Here is a 19777-nt window from a genome sequence, read left to right as displayed (position 1 = left end):
ACAAAATATAGCACAACCGTAGGCTAGGATACTGCTCAGTGATAAAAAGTAATTTACTACTGATACAGACCACTACCTGGATGAGTCCCTAAAGAATTATGCCATGTGAAAAAAAAAAAGCCGTTTCCAAAAAACTGCATAGTGTATGATTCCAGTTCTATAACATTCTTAAAGGAACCAGATTATTGAAGTGGAGAACCGATTAATGGTGGGCAAGGTTAAGAAGGAGCTGGTCGCAAGAAGGAAGTGAGTGTGTCAGTAAAAGGGCAACGTGGAAGACCCTCGTGATTATGGAATTCTTCTGGATTTGGCTGTATGAGTGCCCATATTCTGGTTATGATACTGTATGATGACGTTGAAAATACTGTTACTTTAAAAAGTTACAAAAATACTAATGAAAAACGAGCTTAATTAAAAATCACTATGAGCCTGGAAAACACAGTGATATTTTAGTTGTTGGAACAATGTCTATTTACGAGTTTTTCTTCTCATTTTATGTCATGTTTTATGTCTTTATTGTCAATGTTTATCATTTAGTTAAATAAAAGAATGGATGGATTAAGCTGACTATATGATTCTGTTTCTTTTTTTACTTCAGGTTTATAAAGCATCTTTATTAAAATAATGAGATTAGTTCTTAACAGGGAAAAAGCAAAATGTCCAATACAATACTTAGCAATTAAAATACATGCGTGGGAATAGAAGCCCCTTGAGTCCATTTTCCACTCTTCAGATGAGCTTGGGTAAATTAATTAAGTCAGCATCCCTTCTGGACAAAGTTCTCTCCTCATTACTCTGGTTTTGCTCCCCATTTTTCCTATTGTCACTGAAAGACCTGGAGACCTAAAATAGATACTAATTATTTTCCACCTTTACCCCTCACCATTCAAAGTAGTGCATGTGTGGTTTCAACAATGAGACCCCATTAACACAGAGATTATTAAAGCCACACAGAATGAATGAATTCACAAGAATAAAGAACTTGTGCTTAGGGTTAAAGATGAATAAGTAACGTCTCCACAAAATAAAGGTTCTAGGACCATTGTTATCATTAATAAAATGTAATGAAAAAGTATACCAATGTTATTTTTCAAATGAGCAGCATGATCAAATAAGCATATTAGATAGTAAGTAAACATAGCAAAGCCTCTGTTATACCAGATAGAAAATATTTTTAAAAAACAGTTTTTGAAATATTACTGCTAATACCAGGAAGGAAAGTGCTAAAAAGAAAGCCACAGGCCAGTATTTCTTCCTTGAATGTGAATACAAATATTTTAAACCAAATATTAACAAACATAGCAAGTTAAAACAGACAAACAAAAAGTAAAAATGCACATGGACAATTTGAGTTTACCCGAGGAATTCAAGTTTGGTTTAATAATTTAAAAATAATCAACATATACATAAGCACACATACATTCATGCACACACATGCACATGTACACATTTTTACTTATACACATAAACAGATTCACATACACACATGCACACATGCATGCATGCACAGACACACACATGTGCATACACATGCATAGGTCATTCTCCTGTACCTTATAATCAATTCATGTTTTTTAAACCAAGCTTAATAAAAATTCGGAAAAGCTCTGTGAGTTATTATACAGATCTCTCTAAAACCTATTAAAAACGAAAAACTACAAAGTAAAAAAATATATATCTAGTAAAATTTTATGTTCAGAAAAGCCCATGTAAACAAAATTATGTATTATATATACACATTTCCATATATAAATATGTATACACATATGTACATATTATATACACAAATTTTCATATAAGTAAACATAGATATATGCATATGTATATATAATTTCCAACGAAAACTCTGGAAATGCTGTACTTAAAATTCTGGAAAGACATACACCACAATGCAGCATGGTTACCTTTGAGCAGTCTGGAATTTAAGAGGGGCTGGTCACTGGGGAGTATGCAGCATAGTACTTCACAACAGGGGTATACGGTTAGTGTAACCATTCCCTTGAAGATGAATGTCAAGGTACTTTTCTGCCATACTGTAATTCTAAGTACAAAGATACAACAGAAAGTCGTGTGACTACCTTGTTTTTTTCCCATGTGAATATGTCTTAAGATTTGATACCGAGAAGTGGAGATGATGGACAAAAAGAGAAGCACATTGATCATGTCAGCAAATATTACCAAGTTGTCCTTTGAAGGTTGAACCAATCTGTCATGCAAGAAATGACAGTGCCTGTTTCCCTATATTGTGAACAAAATTTGATGGTGCATTTTTATATTTTTCAATTTTGCAAATGATGTGGGTAAAAAATTATGTCCCAGTGTTGTAGTTTCCAAACATCCAATTCTCAGGGAGTGGGTCAGACTCTGTGTTGGAAGTGTTTGGATTTCCTGTCCTCTGAATTCCCTATCTCCACACTTGGCCCCTAGGTCTATTGGATTTTTGTGGTTATGCGTATTTGTAGGTTTTAAAGTAAACTTTAAATATTAATCCTTTATTTTATACACATATCAAATATTTTTAAAGTTTTAATACGTATTTCAATTTTATAGTGACTTTGTCTTATTCAAGCATGTTTTCTTGTTATCAAATTAACATTTGTTTCCTTTATGATTTTTACCATAAAGGGAAAAACTTTCATTTGTAATTTGTTTACAAGGGTCTTTTCTATCTCAGTGTTCTAAATGAATTTCTTTTATTTTCTTATAATATGTTTAAAGATTTGCCTTGTTTTATCTTTATCATTTTGATGTTTCTATAATTTATTTTTGTGACTCCTTTATTCATCATTGACTTGAAATACAATGTTTATGATAAACTGCATATATATGAAATTATGTATCTGTATTAATACATGTATTGTGTTTCAATGACTGACTTGCCTATTTAGAATATCAATCCTATAGTATTCTAATTATTCTGGGTTTATAATATGCCTTGCTACTTGGTAAGACAATTTTTTGTACTGCGTTTTACATGTCTTTAATTATTCTTGAGAATTTTCTTTAGATAAGTTTATAATTAAGTTAGCAAGATCTATAAAAGTATTTCTTTTAAGTTGTTTGCAAAAAAGTTGTATTGTAATTATAATTTAATATTTTGTTTTTATATTATAATTATGGAAGGATTGTTCTCTTTTTGCTGTTGTATCTGCCCGAATGGGAAGACCATATATCTCTCATGTATTCAGGGTGCAGGCAACTTTTATAAAGCTTAATATCTTTTCAGTGAAAATCTTTCAACATTTCCTGCTAACATTTCTTTTAGATATTTTGCAGGCTTTTTCAGTAGCTATTGTTTGCAGGACTGTTATCTTCTCCTTACCATGTTTACATGGCTATTCCTTTACAAAAGGACACTTCCTCTTCCACAGCTGCTAATCCACCACAGCTGAGAGTCTTAATGGGTAGATAATCAAAGTCACTACTATAGGGCACTGGGACATGACTACACGAGAACCTATTGGAAAGCATATAGAAGGTCTACTATTATTGGCTCTTAAATGACAAAAGTCTGAGTTCATACATGTGGTTTAAACCAAAGATGCACTGGGAAAGAAAAGGTTATTATTTTGGCACTAGAAGCATTTCACTTCTTCCAGGAGTAAACTACAAACGCTCTGTATATAAAGAAATTATCATCAGAATAAACAGACAACTTACAGAATGGGAGATAATATTTGCAAACTATGCATCTAACAAAGGTCTAATTTCCAGAATCTATAAGGCACTAAAACAACTTAACAAGAATAAAACAAATAACTCTATTAAAGAGTGGGCAAAGAACAGGAACTGACACTTCTGAGAAGACCTGTAAGTTCCCAAAGAGCATATGAAAAAATGTTCAGTATCATTAATCATCAGAGAAACGCAAATCAAAACCACAATGAGATACCATCTCACTCCAGTCAGAATGGCTTTTGTTTAAAAGTTAAAAAATAACAGATGTTGGCAAGGCTGTGAAGAAAAGGAAATGCTTATACACAGTTGGTGGGAATGTAAATCAGTTCAGCCAATGTGGAAAGCAGTTTGGAGCTTTCTCAAAGAAGGAAAAATAGAAGCACCATTTCACTCAGCAATCCTATTACAGGGGATATGCTCAAAGAAAAAAAACAGTTCTACCGAAAAGACCAGTGGACTGATACGACTGATATGTTTATTGCAGCACTATTCACAATAGCAAAGAGAAGGAATCAAGCTAGGTGCTCATCAATGGTAGATTGGATAAAGACAATGTGGCACATATACACCATGAAATACTGCACAGCCATTAGAAAGAATGAAATCATGCCCTTACCCTTTTCAGCAACATGGATACATCTGGAGGCCATTATCCTAAGTGAATTAACACAGAAACCGCCAACAAAATATTGCATGTTCCAGTGGGAGCTAAACCTTGAGTATACAGGGACACAAAGATGGAAACAGTAGACACTGGGGACTTCAAAAGAAGGAAGAAGGGGAAGGAAGTGGGGGAGGGCTGAAAAACTTCTTAGTGAGTACTGTGTTCACTATCTGGGTGACGTGATCAACAGAAGCCTAACTCTCAGCATCATGCAATATATGCCTATAATAAAACTGCAAACATAGCCCCTAATTTATTATTTGGGTGTGTGTCCCTGCCCAAGTCACAAGTCGAATTGTAATCCCTAGTGTTGGAAGTGGGGCCTGGTGGGAGGTGATTGGATGATGGGGACAGAGTTCTCATGAATGGGTTAGCACCATCCTCCCTTGGTGCTGTTTAGTGAGTGAGTTCTCATGAGATCTGGTTGTTTAAAAGCCTGTGTCATGCATCCCCCACCCCCCTTCATCCTCCTCCTCCAACCATGTAAGATGTGCCTGCTTCCCCTTTTCCTTCAACTATGATTGAAAGTTACCTGAGGCCTCTCCAGTAGCTGAGCAGATGCTGTCATGCCTTCTGTACAGCCTGGAGAACGCTGAGCCAATTAAACCTATGTTCCTTTTAAGGTACCCATTCTCAGGTATTTCTTTTTTTTTTTTAATACATTAAGTTCTAGGGTACATGTGCACAATGTGCAGGTTTGTTACATATGTGTACATGTGACGTATTGGTTTGCTGCACCCATTAACTCGTCATTTACATTAGGTATTTCTCCTAATGCTATCCCTCCCGCATTCCCCTACTGCATGACAGGCCCCAGTGTGTGATGTTCCCCTTCCTGTGTCCAAGTGTTCTCATTGTTCAATTCCCACCTATGACTGAGAACATGTGGTGTTTGGTTTTCTGTCCTTGCGACAGTTTGCTGAGAACGATCATTTCCAGCTTCATCCATGTCCCTACAAAGGGACCTTTTTTATGGCTCATCCTTTTTTATAGCTGCAGAGTATTCTATGGTGTATATGTGCCACATTTTCTTAATCCAGTCTATTATTGATGGACATTTGGGTTGGTTCCAAGTCTTTGCTATTGTGAATAGTGCTGCAATAAACACACGTGTGCATGTGTCTTTGTAGTAGCATGATTTATAAATCATTGGGTATATACCCAGTAATGGGATTGCTGGGCCAAATGGTATTTCTAGTTCTAGATCCTTGAGGAATTGCCACACTGTCTTCCACAATGGCTGAACTAGTTTACACTCCCACCAACAGTGTAAAAGCGTTCCTACTTCTCCACATCCTCTCTAGCACCTGTTGTTTCCTGACTTTTTAATGATCGCCATTCTAACTGGTGTGAGATGATATCTCATTGTGGTTTTGATTTGCATTTATCTGATGACCAGTGATGATGAGCATTTTTTCATGTGTCTGTTGGCTGCATAACTGTCTTCTTTTGAGAAGTGTCTGTTCATATCCTTTGCCCACTTTTTGATGGGATTGTTTGATTTTTTCTTGTAAATTTGTTTAAATTCTTTGTAGATTTTGGATATTAGCCCTTTGTCAGATGTGTAGATCGAAAAAATTTTCTCCCATTCTGTAGGTTGCCTCTTCACTCTGATGGTAGTTTCTTTTGCTGTGGAGAAGCTCTTTAGTTTAATTAGATCCCATTTGTCAATTTTGGCTTCTGTTGCCATTGCTTTTGGTGTTTTAGTCATGAAGTCCTTGCCCATGCCTATGTCCTGAATGGTATTGCCTAGGTTTTCCTCTAGAGTTTTTATGATTTTAGGTCTAACATTTAAGTCTTTAATCCCTCCTGAATTAATGTTTGTATAAGGTGTAAGGAAGGGATCCAGTTTCAGCTTTCTACATATGACTAGCCAGTTTTCCCAGCACCATTTACTAAATAGGGAATCCTTTCCCCACTTCTTGTTTTTGTCAGGTTTGTCAAAGATCAGATGGTTGTAGATGTGTGGTGTTATTTCTGAGGCCTCTGTTCTGTTCCATTGGTCTATATCTCTATTTTGGTACCAGTACCATGCTGTGTTGGTTACTGTTGCCTTGTAGTATAGTTTGAAGTCAGGTAGCATGATGCCTCCAGCTTTGTTCTTTTTGATTAGGATTGTCTTGGCAATGTGGGCTGTTTTTTGGTTCTATGTGAACTTTCAAGTAGTTTTTTCCAATTCTGTGAAGAAAGTCATTGGTAGCTTGATGGGGATGACATTGAATCTGTAAATTACCTTGGGCAGTATGACCATTTTCATGGTATTGATTCATCCTATTGATGAGCATGAAATTTTCTTCCATTTGTTTGTGTCCTCTTTTATTTCATTGAGCAGTGGTTTGTAGTTCTCCTTGAAGAGGTCCTTCACATCCCTTGTAAGTTGGATTCCTAGGTATTTTATTCTCTTTTTAGCAATTGTGAATTGGAGTTCACTCATGATTTGCCTGTTTGTCTGTTATTGGTGTATGGGAATGCTTGTGATTTTTGCATATTGATTTTGTATCCTGAGACTTTGCTGAAGTTGCCTATCAGCTTAAGGAAATTTTGGGCTGAGACGATGGGGTTTTCTAAATATATAATAATGTCCTCTGCAAACAGGGACAATTTGACTTCCTGTTTTCCTAACTGAATACCCTTTATTTCTTTCTCTTGCATGATTGCCCTGGCCAGAACTTCCAACACTATGTTGAATAGGAGTGGTGAGAGAGGGCATCCCTGTCTTGTGCCAGTTTTCAGCGGGAATGCTTCCAGTTTTTGCCTGTTCAGTATGATACTGGCTGTGGGTTTATCATAAATAGCTCATATTATTTTGAGATATGTTCCATCAATACCTAGTTTATTGAGAGTTTTTAGTGTGAAGGATTGTTGAATTTTGTCAAAGCCTTTCCTGCATCTATTGAGATAATCATGTGGTTTTTGTCTTTGGTTCTGTTTATGTGATGGATTACGCTTATTGATTTGCTTGTGTTGAACCAGCCTTGCATCCCAGGGATGAAGCCAACTTGATCTTCGTGGATAAGCTTTTTGATGTGCTGCTGGATTTGGTTTGCCAGTATTTTATTGAGGATTTTCGCATCGATGTTCATCAGGGATATTGGTGTAAAATTCTCTTTTTTTGTTGTGTCTCTGCCAGGTTTTGGTAAGAGGATGATGCTGGCCTCATAAAATGAGTTAGGGAGGATTCCCTCTTTTTCTATTTATTGGAATGGTTTCAGAAGGAATGGTACCAGCTTCCCTTTTTACCCCTGGTAGAATTCGATTGTGAATCCATCTGATCCTGGACATTTTTTGTTTTTTAGGCTATTAATTATTGCCTCAATATCAGAGTCTGTTATTGATCTATTCAGTGATTCAACTTCTTCCTGGTTTAGTCTTGGGAGTGTGTATTTATCCATTTCTTCTGGATTTTCCAGTTTATTTGCGTAGTGGTGTTTATAGTATTCTCTGATGGTAGTTTGTATTTCTGTGGGATCGGTGTTGATATCCCCTTTATCATTTTTTATTGCGTCTATTTGATTCTTCTGTCTTCTTTATTAGTATAGCAGTGTGAGAACACACCAATACACCAACCCCTCAATCTAAACGTAAAATAAGATAAATCTGTGTTTGGTCACCTGGTGTATGCCTCAAAGAATATCATTTAGTTTCAGTATCATTAATTTTATTACAAGACTATTATGTGTAGTCTTTCTATATTTCTGTTTTCTTTCCTCAATATTGGTACAACATTTAATTCACACCATTGCTTATAGCTGTAGCAAATTTCTTTTCAGGACTGTTTAATATTCTACAGTGTGAATCCATTATCCTGTCGATATCTGAATTGTCCCAAGTTTGCTCTTATGAACAGCCACTTGAATATTCTCAACTCCTAGAAAGATGAGCTACACTTCCATGAATATAATTGCTGGGTCATAGAGTGTATAAATTTTCAACTTTTATATAGAAAATCCAGGGAATTGCCAGTGTATTGCAAATACCCTTTAAATATATTTATGCCGAATTATATTCATATCAGCTATCCATAAGAGATCACATGAATGCAAATTATGCCTAAGATTTGAGATTTGTATGCTTCATAATTTAACAGAATATTTAACAGAATCCTTCTAAAAATATTAGATGTTCAGTGCTTAAGTGCTCAATATTTTAAACAGTCAGTCTAAGTTCCACAGTATTCTTTACTGTTTTGAACCTACAGTAGAAACTTCATGTTTCAATTTCATCACTATTTAAAATCAAATTTTAAACACGTTAACAGAGATTTTGAATTTGTTTCATTGATGACATTCACCCTTTGAAAACGTCAACATAAAATGTTACATTTGATTTTTTTTTTAAATGTGTTTTGGTTCTGTCAGTTTCAGGACTATGCCAAATGTCATGCTGAGGTCCGAAGGGAGTGGGTGGATGAGCAGAAAGAACAGCCAGGGAGCCGTGGGCAGGTGAAAGGTGATTTTATTCAGCAGCAGCAGCTCTCATCAACAGCTTTCTCGCACTGCCCTGTCTCAGCTGCTTAGTCCAGCTTCCACACACAGCTGCACAGCCGGCTCCCCTTGCCTTCAGGGTCAGCAGCTTAACTCTTTACCTGTCTGGGCACAAGCAAGCTGAGCTGTGTCCTGGCTCCCCTCTGTCTGTCTGCAAAGACGGACAAATTTGGCTTTCTCTCTTTCTCTGGATGCAAGAGCACCTGCACAAGAGACATGTCCAGCCACGTTGAGTCAAGCTGAGCCCCAAGAGGCCCTATACAGTGTTAGCAGGGCAATTATACCTTTTACAGACAGTAATGGCTCAGAGCCAAGTATGAACTTACACAAACAGGTTATATAACAAGTGGAAGCATGCGCCTGTGCGCTAAACTCGCTGAGCCCTGCAGACCTGGATACCTGCCTCAGTCTATTCTTTGACCAAAGCACATCCATGTACCTTACAGGTTCTGTGAGAAAATTATATTTGTGCTCACACTTAACCTGAAAACAGCCAATGGAATTTAATAGAAAACATTTGAAACATATTGCCTAATATTATTAATATCTTTGAGGAATCTACCCAAAAAAATCATGCTCTAATAAAGTTCTTGGCTTGCATGGCATGGTCCACACTTTTTGAAAGATACTGTTTGAATACACTTTAATTTTCAAAGCTTTCATATGATGCACCATTTCTGCAATAATAACTGCTATTATTTTCACAGCTATAGAAGATATTCTTTATTTTTGCTAAAATATTATATTTGTCTGATGTGGTTTTGTTGTATCCTCACCCAAAATGTCTCTTGAATTGTAATCCCCATAATCTCCACATGTCAAGGGAGAGAACAGGTGGAGATAATTGAATTATGGAGGCAGCTTTTCCCATGCTGTTCTTATGATAGTGAGTTCTTACAAGATCTGATGGGTTTTTTTTGTGTTTTACTGTTTGTTTGTTTTTGTTTTGAAATGGAGTTTCACTCTTGTCACCCAGGCTGGAGTGCAATGGCGCGATCTTGGCTCACTGCAATCTCTGCCTCCCAGGTTCAAGCGATTCTCCTGCCTCAGCCTCCCAAGTAGCTGGGATTACAGGCATGCACCATCATGCTGAGCTAATTTTGTATTTTTACTAGAGATGGGGTTTCACCATGTTGGTCAGTCTGGTCTCGAACTCCTGACCTCCAGTGATCCACCCACCTTGACCTCCCACAGTCCTGGGATTACAGGTGTGAGACACAGCTCCCGGCCCAAGATCTGATGGTTTTATAAGGGGCTTCCCCCTTCACTCTGCGCTCACTCCATCCTACCACCCTGTGAAAAAGGTGCCTGCTTCTCCCTTGCCTGTCACCATGATTGTAGGTTTCCTGAGGCCTCCCCTGCAATGAGGAACTGTGAATCAATGAAACATCTTTCCTTTATAAATTTCCCAGTCTCAGGTATTTCTTTGTAGCAGTGTACAATGGACTAAAACATCATCAATGTATTAAAATGAAACAATTTGAGCTTGTTCTGCTATTGTTTTTGTGACAAGTGTTTTTATAAAAGTATATGCATGCTGCTTGTATTTAACTTGAGACTATCACACTAAAACAAGCAAAGTGGGTGAGTGAGATTCCCTCTTCCCAGATCACATATGGATTTATTGTCAAGCATTACAGAATGTCGTCTCAAATCAGGTGGCCACAGAGAGGAGAAGCAGATGCCACATTGCAGGGCAGCTATGCCTGGTCTTGGAGGCCCTGAGGGATGCACTCAGCAATGAAACTCTTGGAGCAGGGGAAGGTTTGAGGATATCTGGGAATCTCCAAGCTCACTGCAGCATGGGGGTTTTTGACTCAGGTTTTCAGTCTTCACTGAAGAAGAACTTCCAGAAACCACTCCTGCACTTCATTTAGAAGAAGGTTTGCTAACATTGGTATCTTTTGGGATCCCCAAAGTTTATCCTCATTAACAAGAAAAAATAGAGCCCCTATCCCGGTGTCCTTGAACACAGCAGTTGATACTCATACTATTGTCTTTCCAATTTATTCCCTAATTTATAAACAAATTATTGTAACTCTTTTGTATGCCTTAGCCAAAAAATTAAATAGCTTTGGAAGAGAACTGGAGAATTGCCAGTCTCAGAAATATATTTATTATAGAACAGAATAGGAGTCAAGGGGATGGGTTTCTAAATGAGAAAAAATTTGCCCTTGTGTTAACGAATGAGTATGAAATCTATAGATATTCATCTATTTTTACCCAAGAAGACAGATTGTTTTTAAATCTGGGAAATTAAGACAATGTGAATAACAACAAAAAATACATGTAGATAAAAGCTAAAGTTAGAAACATGCTCTTCAGATGACAAAAATCCAAATATTTTTACTGAGAACTCAACTCATTCATATGCACACACACAAAAACAACGAATTGAATTTCAGAGTATAGTAGGTTGAATAGTGGCCTCCCAAAAGATATGCTTACATCCTAATTTATTTTTAGTGTTAACTATATCCTAGGTATTATTCCAAGTAATTATATGTGCGTGCACACACACACACACACACACACACACAGAGGGAGAGAGAGAGAGAGAATTAAAGTAATTGGCTTATATGTTTATGGGGGCTGGCAAGTCTGAAATTTGTAGGGCACACTCCCAGCCTGAAAATTCAGAAAAGGGTTGATGTTCCAGTCTTGAGACTAATATCTGCAGAGCAGCAGTCTGGAAAATTAGGCAGAGTTTCTATGTTGCAGTCTTGAGGTAGAATTTCTTCTTCTTCCAGCAACCTTTGTTCTTAAGGCCTTCAGCTGATTGGATGAGGCCCACCCATATTGCAGAGGGTAATCCGCTTTCTCAAAGTCTAGGAATCACATCTGAAAATAACTTCACAGTAACATCTAGAATGGTATTTGACCAAACAACTGTGCCACCTGGCCTAGTCAAATTGACACATATAATTAACCATCCCTAAAAGGTTAAATGATTTTTCCCAAGGTTACACAGCTGGGAAGTGCCTGAGCTGGACTTAGCCAGAAAGATCTCCACAGATACTACCCATTCAGACACTGCACTAACCTAGTCTGTAGTTACACATTGTGTATAGGTGAATTTCCTTATTTCTGTCTTTGGAAATTAAATTTCAAATGCCAAAGGAAACATTTAAAAAGCAACACTTAATGTTAAACCCCAAAAATAAAATGTGAGCTACTTTATGAACATGTATAAAGTTAAAAGAAATTCTTACTCCAACAATTTCTCAGTAGCAGCTGGCAGCTCACTCTATACTGTGAAGCATGGCTAGAATACAGGTTTTCTTCAATTAAAGAAGTGTCAACCTTCTGCATATAGCCAGCCGATATCCCCAGCACATTTTATTGAACAGGGTGTCCTTTCCCCATTGTTTATTTTTTACTTTACAGAAGATCGGTTGATTGTGGGTATGTGGCTTTATTTTGGAGTTCTCTATTCTGTTCCATTAACCTATCTGTCTTTGTAGGAGTACCATGTTGTTTCAGTTATCATTGCCTTATAGTATAATTTGAAGTCAGGCAATGTGATGCCTCTGGACTAAATTCCTATCTTTCACAATCTACAAAAATGAACTCGAGATGAATTAACAACCTAGACATAAGACCTGAAACTATAAAAATCCTAGAAGAAAACCTAGGAAAAATTATTCTGAACATCAGCCTAAACACATAATTTATAATAAAAGACCTCTAAAGCAAATGCTATGAAAACAAAAATAGGCAAGTGAGATTTGATTAAACATAAAATCTTCTGCACAGAAAAATAAATAATAAACAGAATAAACAGGCAATCTACAGAATGGGAGAAAATATTTGCAAGTTGTGCCCCTGACAAAGGACTAAAATCCAGAATCTACAAGTAATTCAAATGACTCAACAAGATAAAAAACAACACCATTAAAAACTGGTCAAAGGACATGAACAGAAATACAAAAGAAGAAATGCAAGTGGTCAATAAATGTGAAAAAAATGCTCAGTATCAATAATCATCAAAGAAATACAAATTAAAACAACACTGAAATATCATCTTAGATCAGTCGGAATGGCTATTACTAAAATGTCAAAAAACAACAGATGTTGGCATAAGTGCAGAGAAAACACTTATACTCTCTTGGTAGGAATGTAAATCAGTCCAACCTCTATAGACAGCAGTATGGAGATATCTCAAATAATTAAAAATAGAACTACCATTGGACCCAACAGTTGCACTACTGGGTATCTATACAAGGGAAAATATCATTCTATAAAAATGAATATACATTTTTATGTTTATTGCAGCACTATTCACAATAGCAAAGTCATGGACCCAACCTATATGTCCATTAATGGTCAATCGAATAAAGAAAATATGGTATATATACACTATGCCATATATACTATTCATAAAAAAGAATGAAATCATATATTTTTCAGCAACATGGATGGAACTGGAGGCCATTATCCTAAGTGGACTAATTGAGAAGCAGAAAATCAAATATGGCATGTCCCCATGTATAAGTGGGAGCTAAACAGTGGATACACATGGATGTAAAGATAGAAATAATAGACATTGGGAAGTCCAAAAAGAAAGGAAAAATTGGGGGAGGATGAGGGTTGAAAAATTACTTATTGGGTACACTGGTATCACTGGTTTATATGGGGTATCACTGGTTTATGTATTCACAAGGTTTTGCACCCATCACCATTAATTTCAGAATATTTTTATTACCACTTAAAGAAACTGCTTACCCATTGGCAGTCTTCCTTTGCCCCTCCCTCCCACTCCTTAACACTAATTGCTTTTTTCTGTATAGAATTGCCTTTTCTAGACATTCTATATAACGGGAATCATACAAACTGTGACCTACTGTGTCTGACTTCTTTTATTTAGCAGAATGTTTTAAAGGTATACCCCTGTAGTCGCATATATAGGTACTTCATTGCTTTTTGTGGGTGAATAACGTTTTATTGCATGTATGTACCATATTTCGCTTATCTGTTTATCAGTTTATAATTTGGATTGTTTCCATTTTTAGACTATTGTGAATAATGCTATGAAAATTTGTGTACAAGATTGTGTATGGGCTGTTTTCAATGATCTCGTATATAGAACTGAGAGTGGAATTGATCTGTTATACTGTAACTGTATGTATAACTTTTTGTGGCATTACCAGAGTGTTTGCCAAATTATTGGTGGCTGTTGGCATCCATTGGCTTATGGCCACATCACTCCAGTCACTGCTTCTGTCTTCACATCTCCTACTTTGGTAATCTATGTGTGTGTGACCCCTTTCCGCCTCTCATAAAGACGTTTTCCATGGCATTTAGTACGCATTGGGATAATTAAGGATGATCTCCTCATCTTAAAGTTCTTAATTATATCTGCATAAACTTTACCATATAAGGTGATATTAAAACGTGGACATATCTTTGGGCGTAATTATCTGTGTACCATAGTGTCTTTCTAGGAATTTGTTCATTTCATCTCTATTATCAAGTTTCTTGGCCTACAACTATTCAAAATATTGCCTTAAATCTTCTTTAAAAAGATTTGAAAGTCAGTAGTAATGTTTCCTCTTTCATTCCTGATTTTAGTAATTTGAACATATCAATTACAATCATCTTTGCTAGTTTTCTTATTGCTTATGTGAAGGAGTAGATATTGGAAGGTCATTACTTTGCCATGACAGAACTGGTTCTTACTAGCTGTTTTTTCAATGTGAGATACATTCAGTAATTTTAATACAATCTCCCTTATGGATCTCAGATGAAGAGTAAAAGAGATCATTTTCTGTATGATTGTACATTACATTCACCTTTTGAACAACGGCAGGTGAAATGTTCGTGGCCTGTGTTTACAGAGGTGCTATCACCTTTGAAAAACTTTGAAAATCTGAAAAACATACAGCTCAATATTTTTCTTCAGTTCTCTCCCGCAGGATAAAACTCTCGGTAATTGTTTTTTTCTATGCCTGCTTTCTTTTCTCCTTAGCTGGGAAAGCATTTTGTCAAAATTGTTGCAAAATATCTGAATTCTGGAAAAAAAGAAAATGCCATATAATATTTTTATAACGTAAAAGAAACCAAAATAGGCTTTATATCTACAGAGACACTGTTAGAATTTCATAGGGAAAAATTAAATAGCCTGAGCCATTATTCTTTTTAAGTTCAGCTATTAGCAAGATATTGAATAGATATTATGACTTTCTGTACCACAAAATATATGCTTTGTTTATAAAGGTTTAAACATCTGTTTTTAATCAAAATTATGGTTATTTTTCTTCTGCATAATTTATGACAATTCTTTGTGAGTAACTCATTCTGATTATCATAGGGCCAGTGATAGTTCAACACTAAAAAGTCAGCTTGGAAAAATTTAGCTAATTTCACATTTTAATTTAAAGTTAACCCTTGAGCTTATCTCACTTAATTCGTTGCATCTGTACAAAGAATCTCAGCCTGGGGTATCTAATCCCAGTTTGGGTCTTAGCTATTGTGTCTTCAGGATATTAAAGCCACTTTCGTAGTACATTTTACTTCAGCTGGAGTTTTTTACAACTTAGATGGAACTTAGCTTTATTGAGGGTAGACCTTAAACACTCTTTACACTGAGTTTTATTAGCTCGTGTTAACTGTATGGCTGCGGTGGCTGGCATGAAATTAACCAACCCTAAATATTAGTATGACTTAGTCAAACTTTCTTTTATTGCTAAAGATTTATCACTGCTGTTTGCTGTGGGGGTGTGGTTGAGCAAAGCGTTTTGAGTTGCATTTGTGCGTGCTTGATACCTGCTCCTTTTGATCCGGGTGATCTAGAGGACATTTTCACTGGGGTGGGGATGCATGCATGTGTAATCCTACGAGTTAATAAAAAGGCCACGACCAAACCTATTTGTTTATAGGGTTGTGTGGACCCATCTAGACATTTTCAGTGCCTTGCTCTGAATGAATAACTGTATTAACTGCATAGAATTCTTTTTTTGTTTGTCTGTTTTTTGTTGTTGTTGTTTTGTTTTTTAATCGGAGTCTCGCTCTGTCGCCCAGGCTGGAGTGCTGTGGCGCGATCTCGGCTCACTGCAACCTCCGCCTCCTGGGTTCACGCCATTCTCCTGCCTCAGCCTCCCGAGTAGCTGGGACTACAGGCGCCTGTCACCATGCCCAGCTAATTTTTTGTATTTTTAGTAGAGACAGGGTTTCACCATGTTAGCCAGGATGGTCTCGCTCTCCTGACCTCGTGATCTGCCCGCCTCGGTCTCCCAAAGAACTGCATAGAATTCTTAAGTGGAAAATTAAAATATAAGAAAGAAAGAAATAAGTATAGTTATTAACAGTTCTGGGAATTCAGGGTCTTTGAAGTCGAATTGGCAGAGGTTTGGCTGAGAGGATTTCTTATAATTAGAATATGGTTTATTTAGGGTATGATATATTGGGGCAGTGCTTTCAGAGGAATATGCTCAAGATATTATATTAGTATTAGGGCAGATATTTAGTTATATTTATTACACAAAGGAGGATTTATTTGGTAGGAGGGTCTTAGAATTTTTTAGAAAATTACCTAAATCGAGGGGTAGCTATTGGGGTATTTGTGGTTAAAATATAATTTTTGAGCTCTGACTGGATTACTGTTTAGTCTCTTGTTTTTGGGGTTTGGCAAGGGTACGTTTACCTAGGTTGACGGTAAAGTCACAGATTGGGGAAAGGGGAATTTGCGGATTTAATTGGAAATAGTTCTTGAAATTGAGCATGCCTGTATGTGTGAGCATCTATTGATTAATTCTTATGTCTTTCAAGCATGAATTAATTAACACCTTATGGTTATTATGCCAGCCTGGAATATTCAATACAAGCTCAGCTTCTACAATTGATTTGGCAGGAATCAAATCCGAATTCGTCCACAGAGGATTGGTCAGGGACCAGGCCGTCCGCGATGCTGTGATAGCATCCCCCGAAGTTATAAATACCAACTGCATGATGGTGCTCCTGTGACTGGTTAATAGTGTGGTAGTCATTAGCCCATCGACATGTCTTATTTAAGGGGAACGTGTGGGCGATCTTAGTTCTATGGCCCTGAAGTAAGAACCAGATGCCAGGTATAGTTTCAGTATAGTCACCCCCAAGTGTCATGGGCCCGGAGCGAGGAGAGTAGTACTCCCGAGTGGGATGATGATTTCTTGGAGTTTAGTAGATTAAGAGACCAAAAATTGACAGTGGATATCCATGTTGACGAGGGACGTCTTGACTAAAATGTTCTGTGTCTGATGAACGAATGTATGTACTATGTAATATTAAGTATTTATAGTACGGGTCAATATCCATGTGGATTATATTTAGGTGTACAGTCGGTAATACTAGATTTATGACAGTTGATTAAGAAATTCCTAATACGTGCTTATATGTATGTGAGCTAGATTTATAATGTATTGTTATGTATGAATGTACTATGTACAATCAAGCAATTATAGTACTATATATTATTTATGGGGACTAGCAGTAATGCAGGAAGTACATACAAGCACTAATGTAATAGTGCTAATTGATTAGTAGTGACGTGGTAGTCAAAGTATGTGCAAGAAAGAATTCAGTGAATAGCTTAATTAGAATTTCAGCTTTGAGTGTTGACAGTGAAGCGGGACGCATTTTCCCTGAGATTTCCTGGGGAGGGGAGTCTCCACTTCTGGTTTATAAGACCAGAGTATTAAATTATACTACAAGGGCACCTTCATTTAAGTAGCTTATTTTCAATTAGGCCGGTGAGTAGTATAGGGGTGAGAATGGTAGAGAAGTACATAATAGATGCCATCTGTCCGACGACAATAAAAGGGTGTTTGACTGGCTGCCCTCCAATTCATGTGAGTGTAAATAGGTTGGCCACTAAGATTCAGAATAGCCATTTACTCAACAGTCGGAATATTATGCTTTGTTGTTTAGACGTGTGAAGCATGGGAATAACTGTTAGAATGAGAATGGAGAATACAAGGGCCAGTATGCCTCCTAGTTTGTGAGGGATGGATGGTAAGATTGCCTGTGCAAACAAAAAGTACCACTCTGGTTTAATGTGGGGTTGGGTACTGAGGGGGTTGGCTAAAGCGTAGTTATCTGGGTCACCCAGGAGGTCAGGCGAAAATAGTACTAGAGTTATTCGAAGGAGGAGGAGAAAAATTAAACCTAAAATATCTTTGATTGTGTGGTAGGGGTGGAAGGTAATTTTGCCTGGGTCTGATGAAACCCCTAAAGGGTTATTAGATCCTGTTTCATGTAGGAGTAAAAGGTGAACAGCTGCTAGGGCTGTAATGATGAAGGGTAAGATGAAATGGAAAGCAAAGAATCATGTAAGGGTGGCTTTGCCAACTGAGAATCCACCTCAGATTCAATGCCCAAGGTCAGTTCCAATATATGAAATCACTGATAGTAGATTTGTAACTACTGTAGTGCCTCAGAAAGATATCTGGCCTTATGGGAGCACGTAGCCTATGAATGCTGTTGCCATAGTTGTGAGTAGGAGGATAATGCCGATATTTCAGGTTTCTAGAAATGTAAATGATCCATAGTATAAACCTCAGCCAATGTGTAAGAAGAGGCAGATGAAAAATATGGAAGCGCCATTAGCATGAAAATAGCAGACCATTCAGCCGTAGTTTACATCTCGGCTAATATGAGCAACTGAAGAGAAGGAAGTTGAGGTGTCTGATGTGTAGTGCATGGCCAAAAACAGTCCAGTGATGATCTGGAGGGTTAGGCAAGCACCAAGAAGTGAGCCGAAGTTTCATCATATAGAAATGTTAAATGGTGTGGGAAGATCAATAAATGAGTAATTAATAATTTTTATTAGCGGGTATGTTTTGCAGATATTGGCCATTAGGGTTCTTATAGTTGAAATACAGAAATGACTTTTCATGTCATTAGTCATGGTTATAGTCCGTGTGGGAATAATGGCATATACTATATTTTTATTAAGTGTCTTTTTGACTATAGGGTTTGTAGGTTTCTCTTCGAAACCTTCTCCTATTTATGGAGGTCAAGGGCTTATTACTAGTGGTGCTGTGGGTTGTGGTATTGTGTTGAATTTTGGTGGGGCTTTCATGGGGTTGATAGTCTGTGTGGTTTATTTGGGTGGTATGATGGTTGTTTTTGGCTATACTATGACGATGGAAACTGAGGAGTATTCTGAAACATAAGGGTTAAATATTGACATCTGAGGAGATTTCTTATTAGGACTGTTAATGGAGTTGATGCTGGTTCTGTGATTAATTGAGCACGATGGAGTGGGGATCACGATTGCTTTTAATAGCATAGAGAGTTGGATGATTTTTGAGGGTGAGGGGGCAGGGTTATTGCGTGAAGATTCTCTGGGTGTGGCTGCCTTGTACAGTTATGGGTGCTGATTAGTGGTAGTTGCTGGTTGATCATTATTTTTTAGTATTTACGTTGCAATTGAAATTACTTAGGATAATAGATTAGATAATAATTGTCCCAGGTTTCAAGTAGGAATTCGAGCTCCAGTTTAGTGAATATTTCATTGATGATAATTTTCTATCTAATGAAACAAAATATTGGATGGTTCTTTAATACAAAACCTCCAGTTTCAAAATGGTTTTAATATTCAGACAAAATATGTTCTTAAATATTTCCTCAATGTAGACTACAATAATATCAAAGGATGCCATGAGATCCAGCCAGTGACGGTCACGAATGTGACTCCTTGTGACAGTGTGAGTTACTCCCACCCAGGAGGTATGTAGCAGATGCTCACTTGTAAAACTCTTACTTTTATTACTAGAGCCCACATGAGCCATGACTGAAGTCTGGGTAACTATGTACAGAAACATCTCCTGTAGCATAAGTTCCTGCAGTATTGTTTAGCCTGTTTTGATTCTGTATCTGCCTAACAAAATTCATCTAGGCAGCCAGCGTCTGAGAAAAATACCCTGGATGTAATGAACATGAGGCCAAATTAATAGAAATGTTCACAATGAAG

General features: G+C 37.0%; 2 pseudogenes, besides 1 other annotated feature; one reads left to right on the top strand and one right to left on the bottom strand.

Moving 5' to 3' along the window:
- Positions 10422 to 10595: a silencer, noted in NCBI's record as "fragment chr5:8627353-8627526 (GRCh37/hg19 assembly coordinates)". NCBI's record gives its function as "represses an EF-1alpha promoter that drives an FKBP-Casp9 reporter gene in an ReSE screen in phorbol 12-myristate 13-acetate-treated (for megakaryocytic differentiation) K562 erythroleukemia cells {active_cell/tissue: K562(+PMA)}" and the evidence as "EXISTENCE:reporter gene assay evidence [ECO:0000049][PMID:32094911]".
- MTCYBP37 (MT-CYB pseudogene 37) lies at positions 17526 to 18658 on the bottom strand (annotated as a pseudogene).
- On the top strand, positions 18732 to 19255 carry MTND6P2 (MT-ND6 pseudogene 2; annotated as a pseudogene).

Source organism: Homo sapiens, chromosome 5 (assembly GCF_000001405.40).
Source record: "Homo sapiens chromosome 5, GRCh38.p14 Primary Assembly".
NCBI lineage: Eukaryota > Metazoa > Chordata > Mammalia > Primates > Hominidae > Homo > Homo sapiens.
The sequence above is the reverse complement of the archived record's forward strand: the minus strand, read 5'-3'. Positions and strand labels throughout refer to the sequence as shown.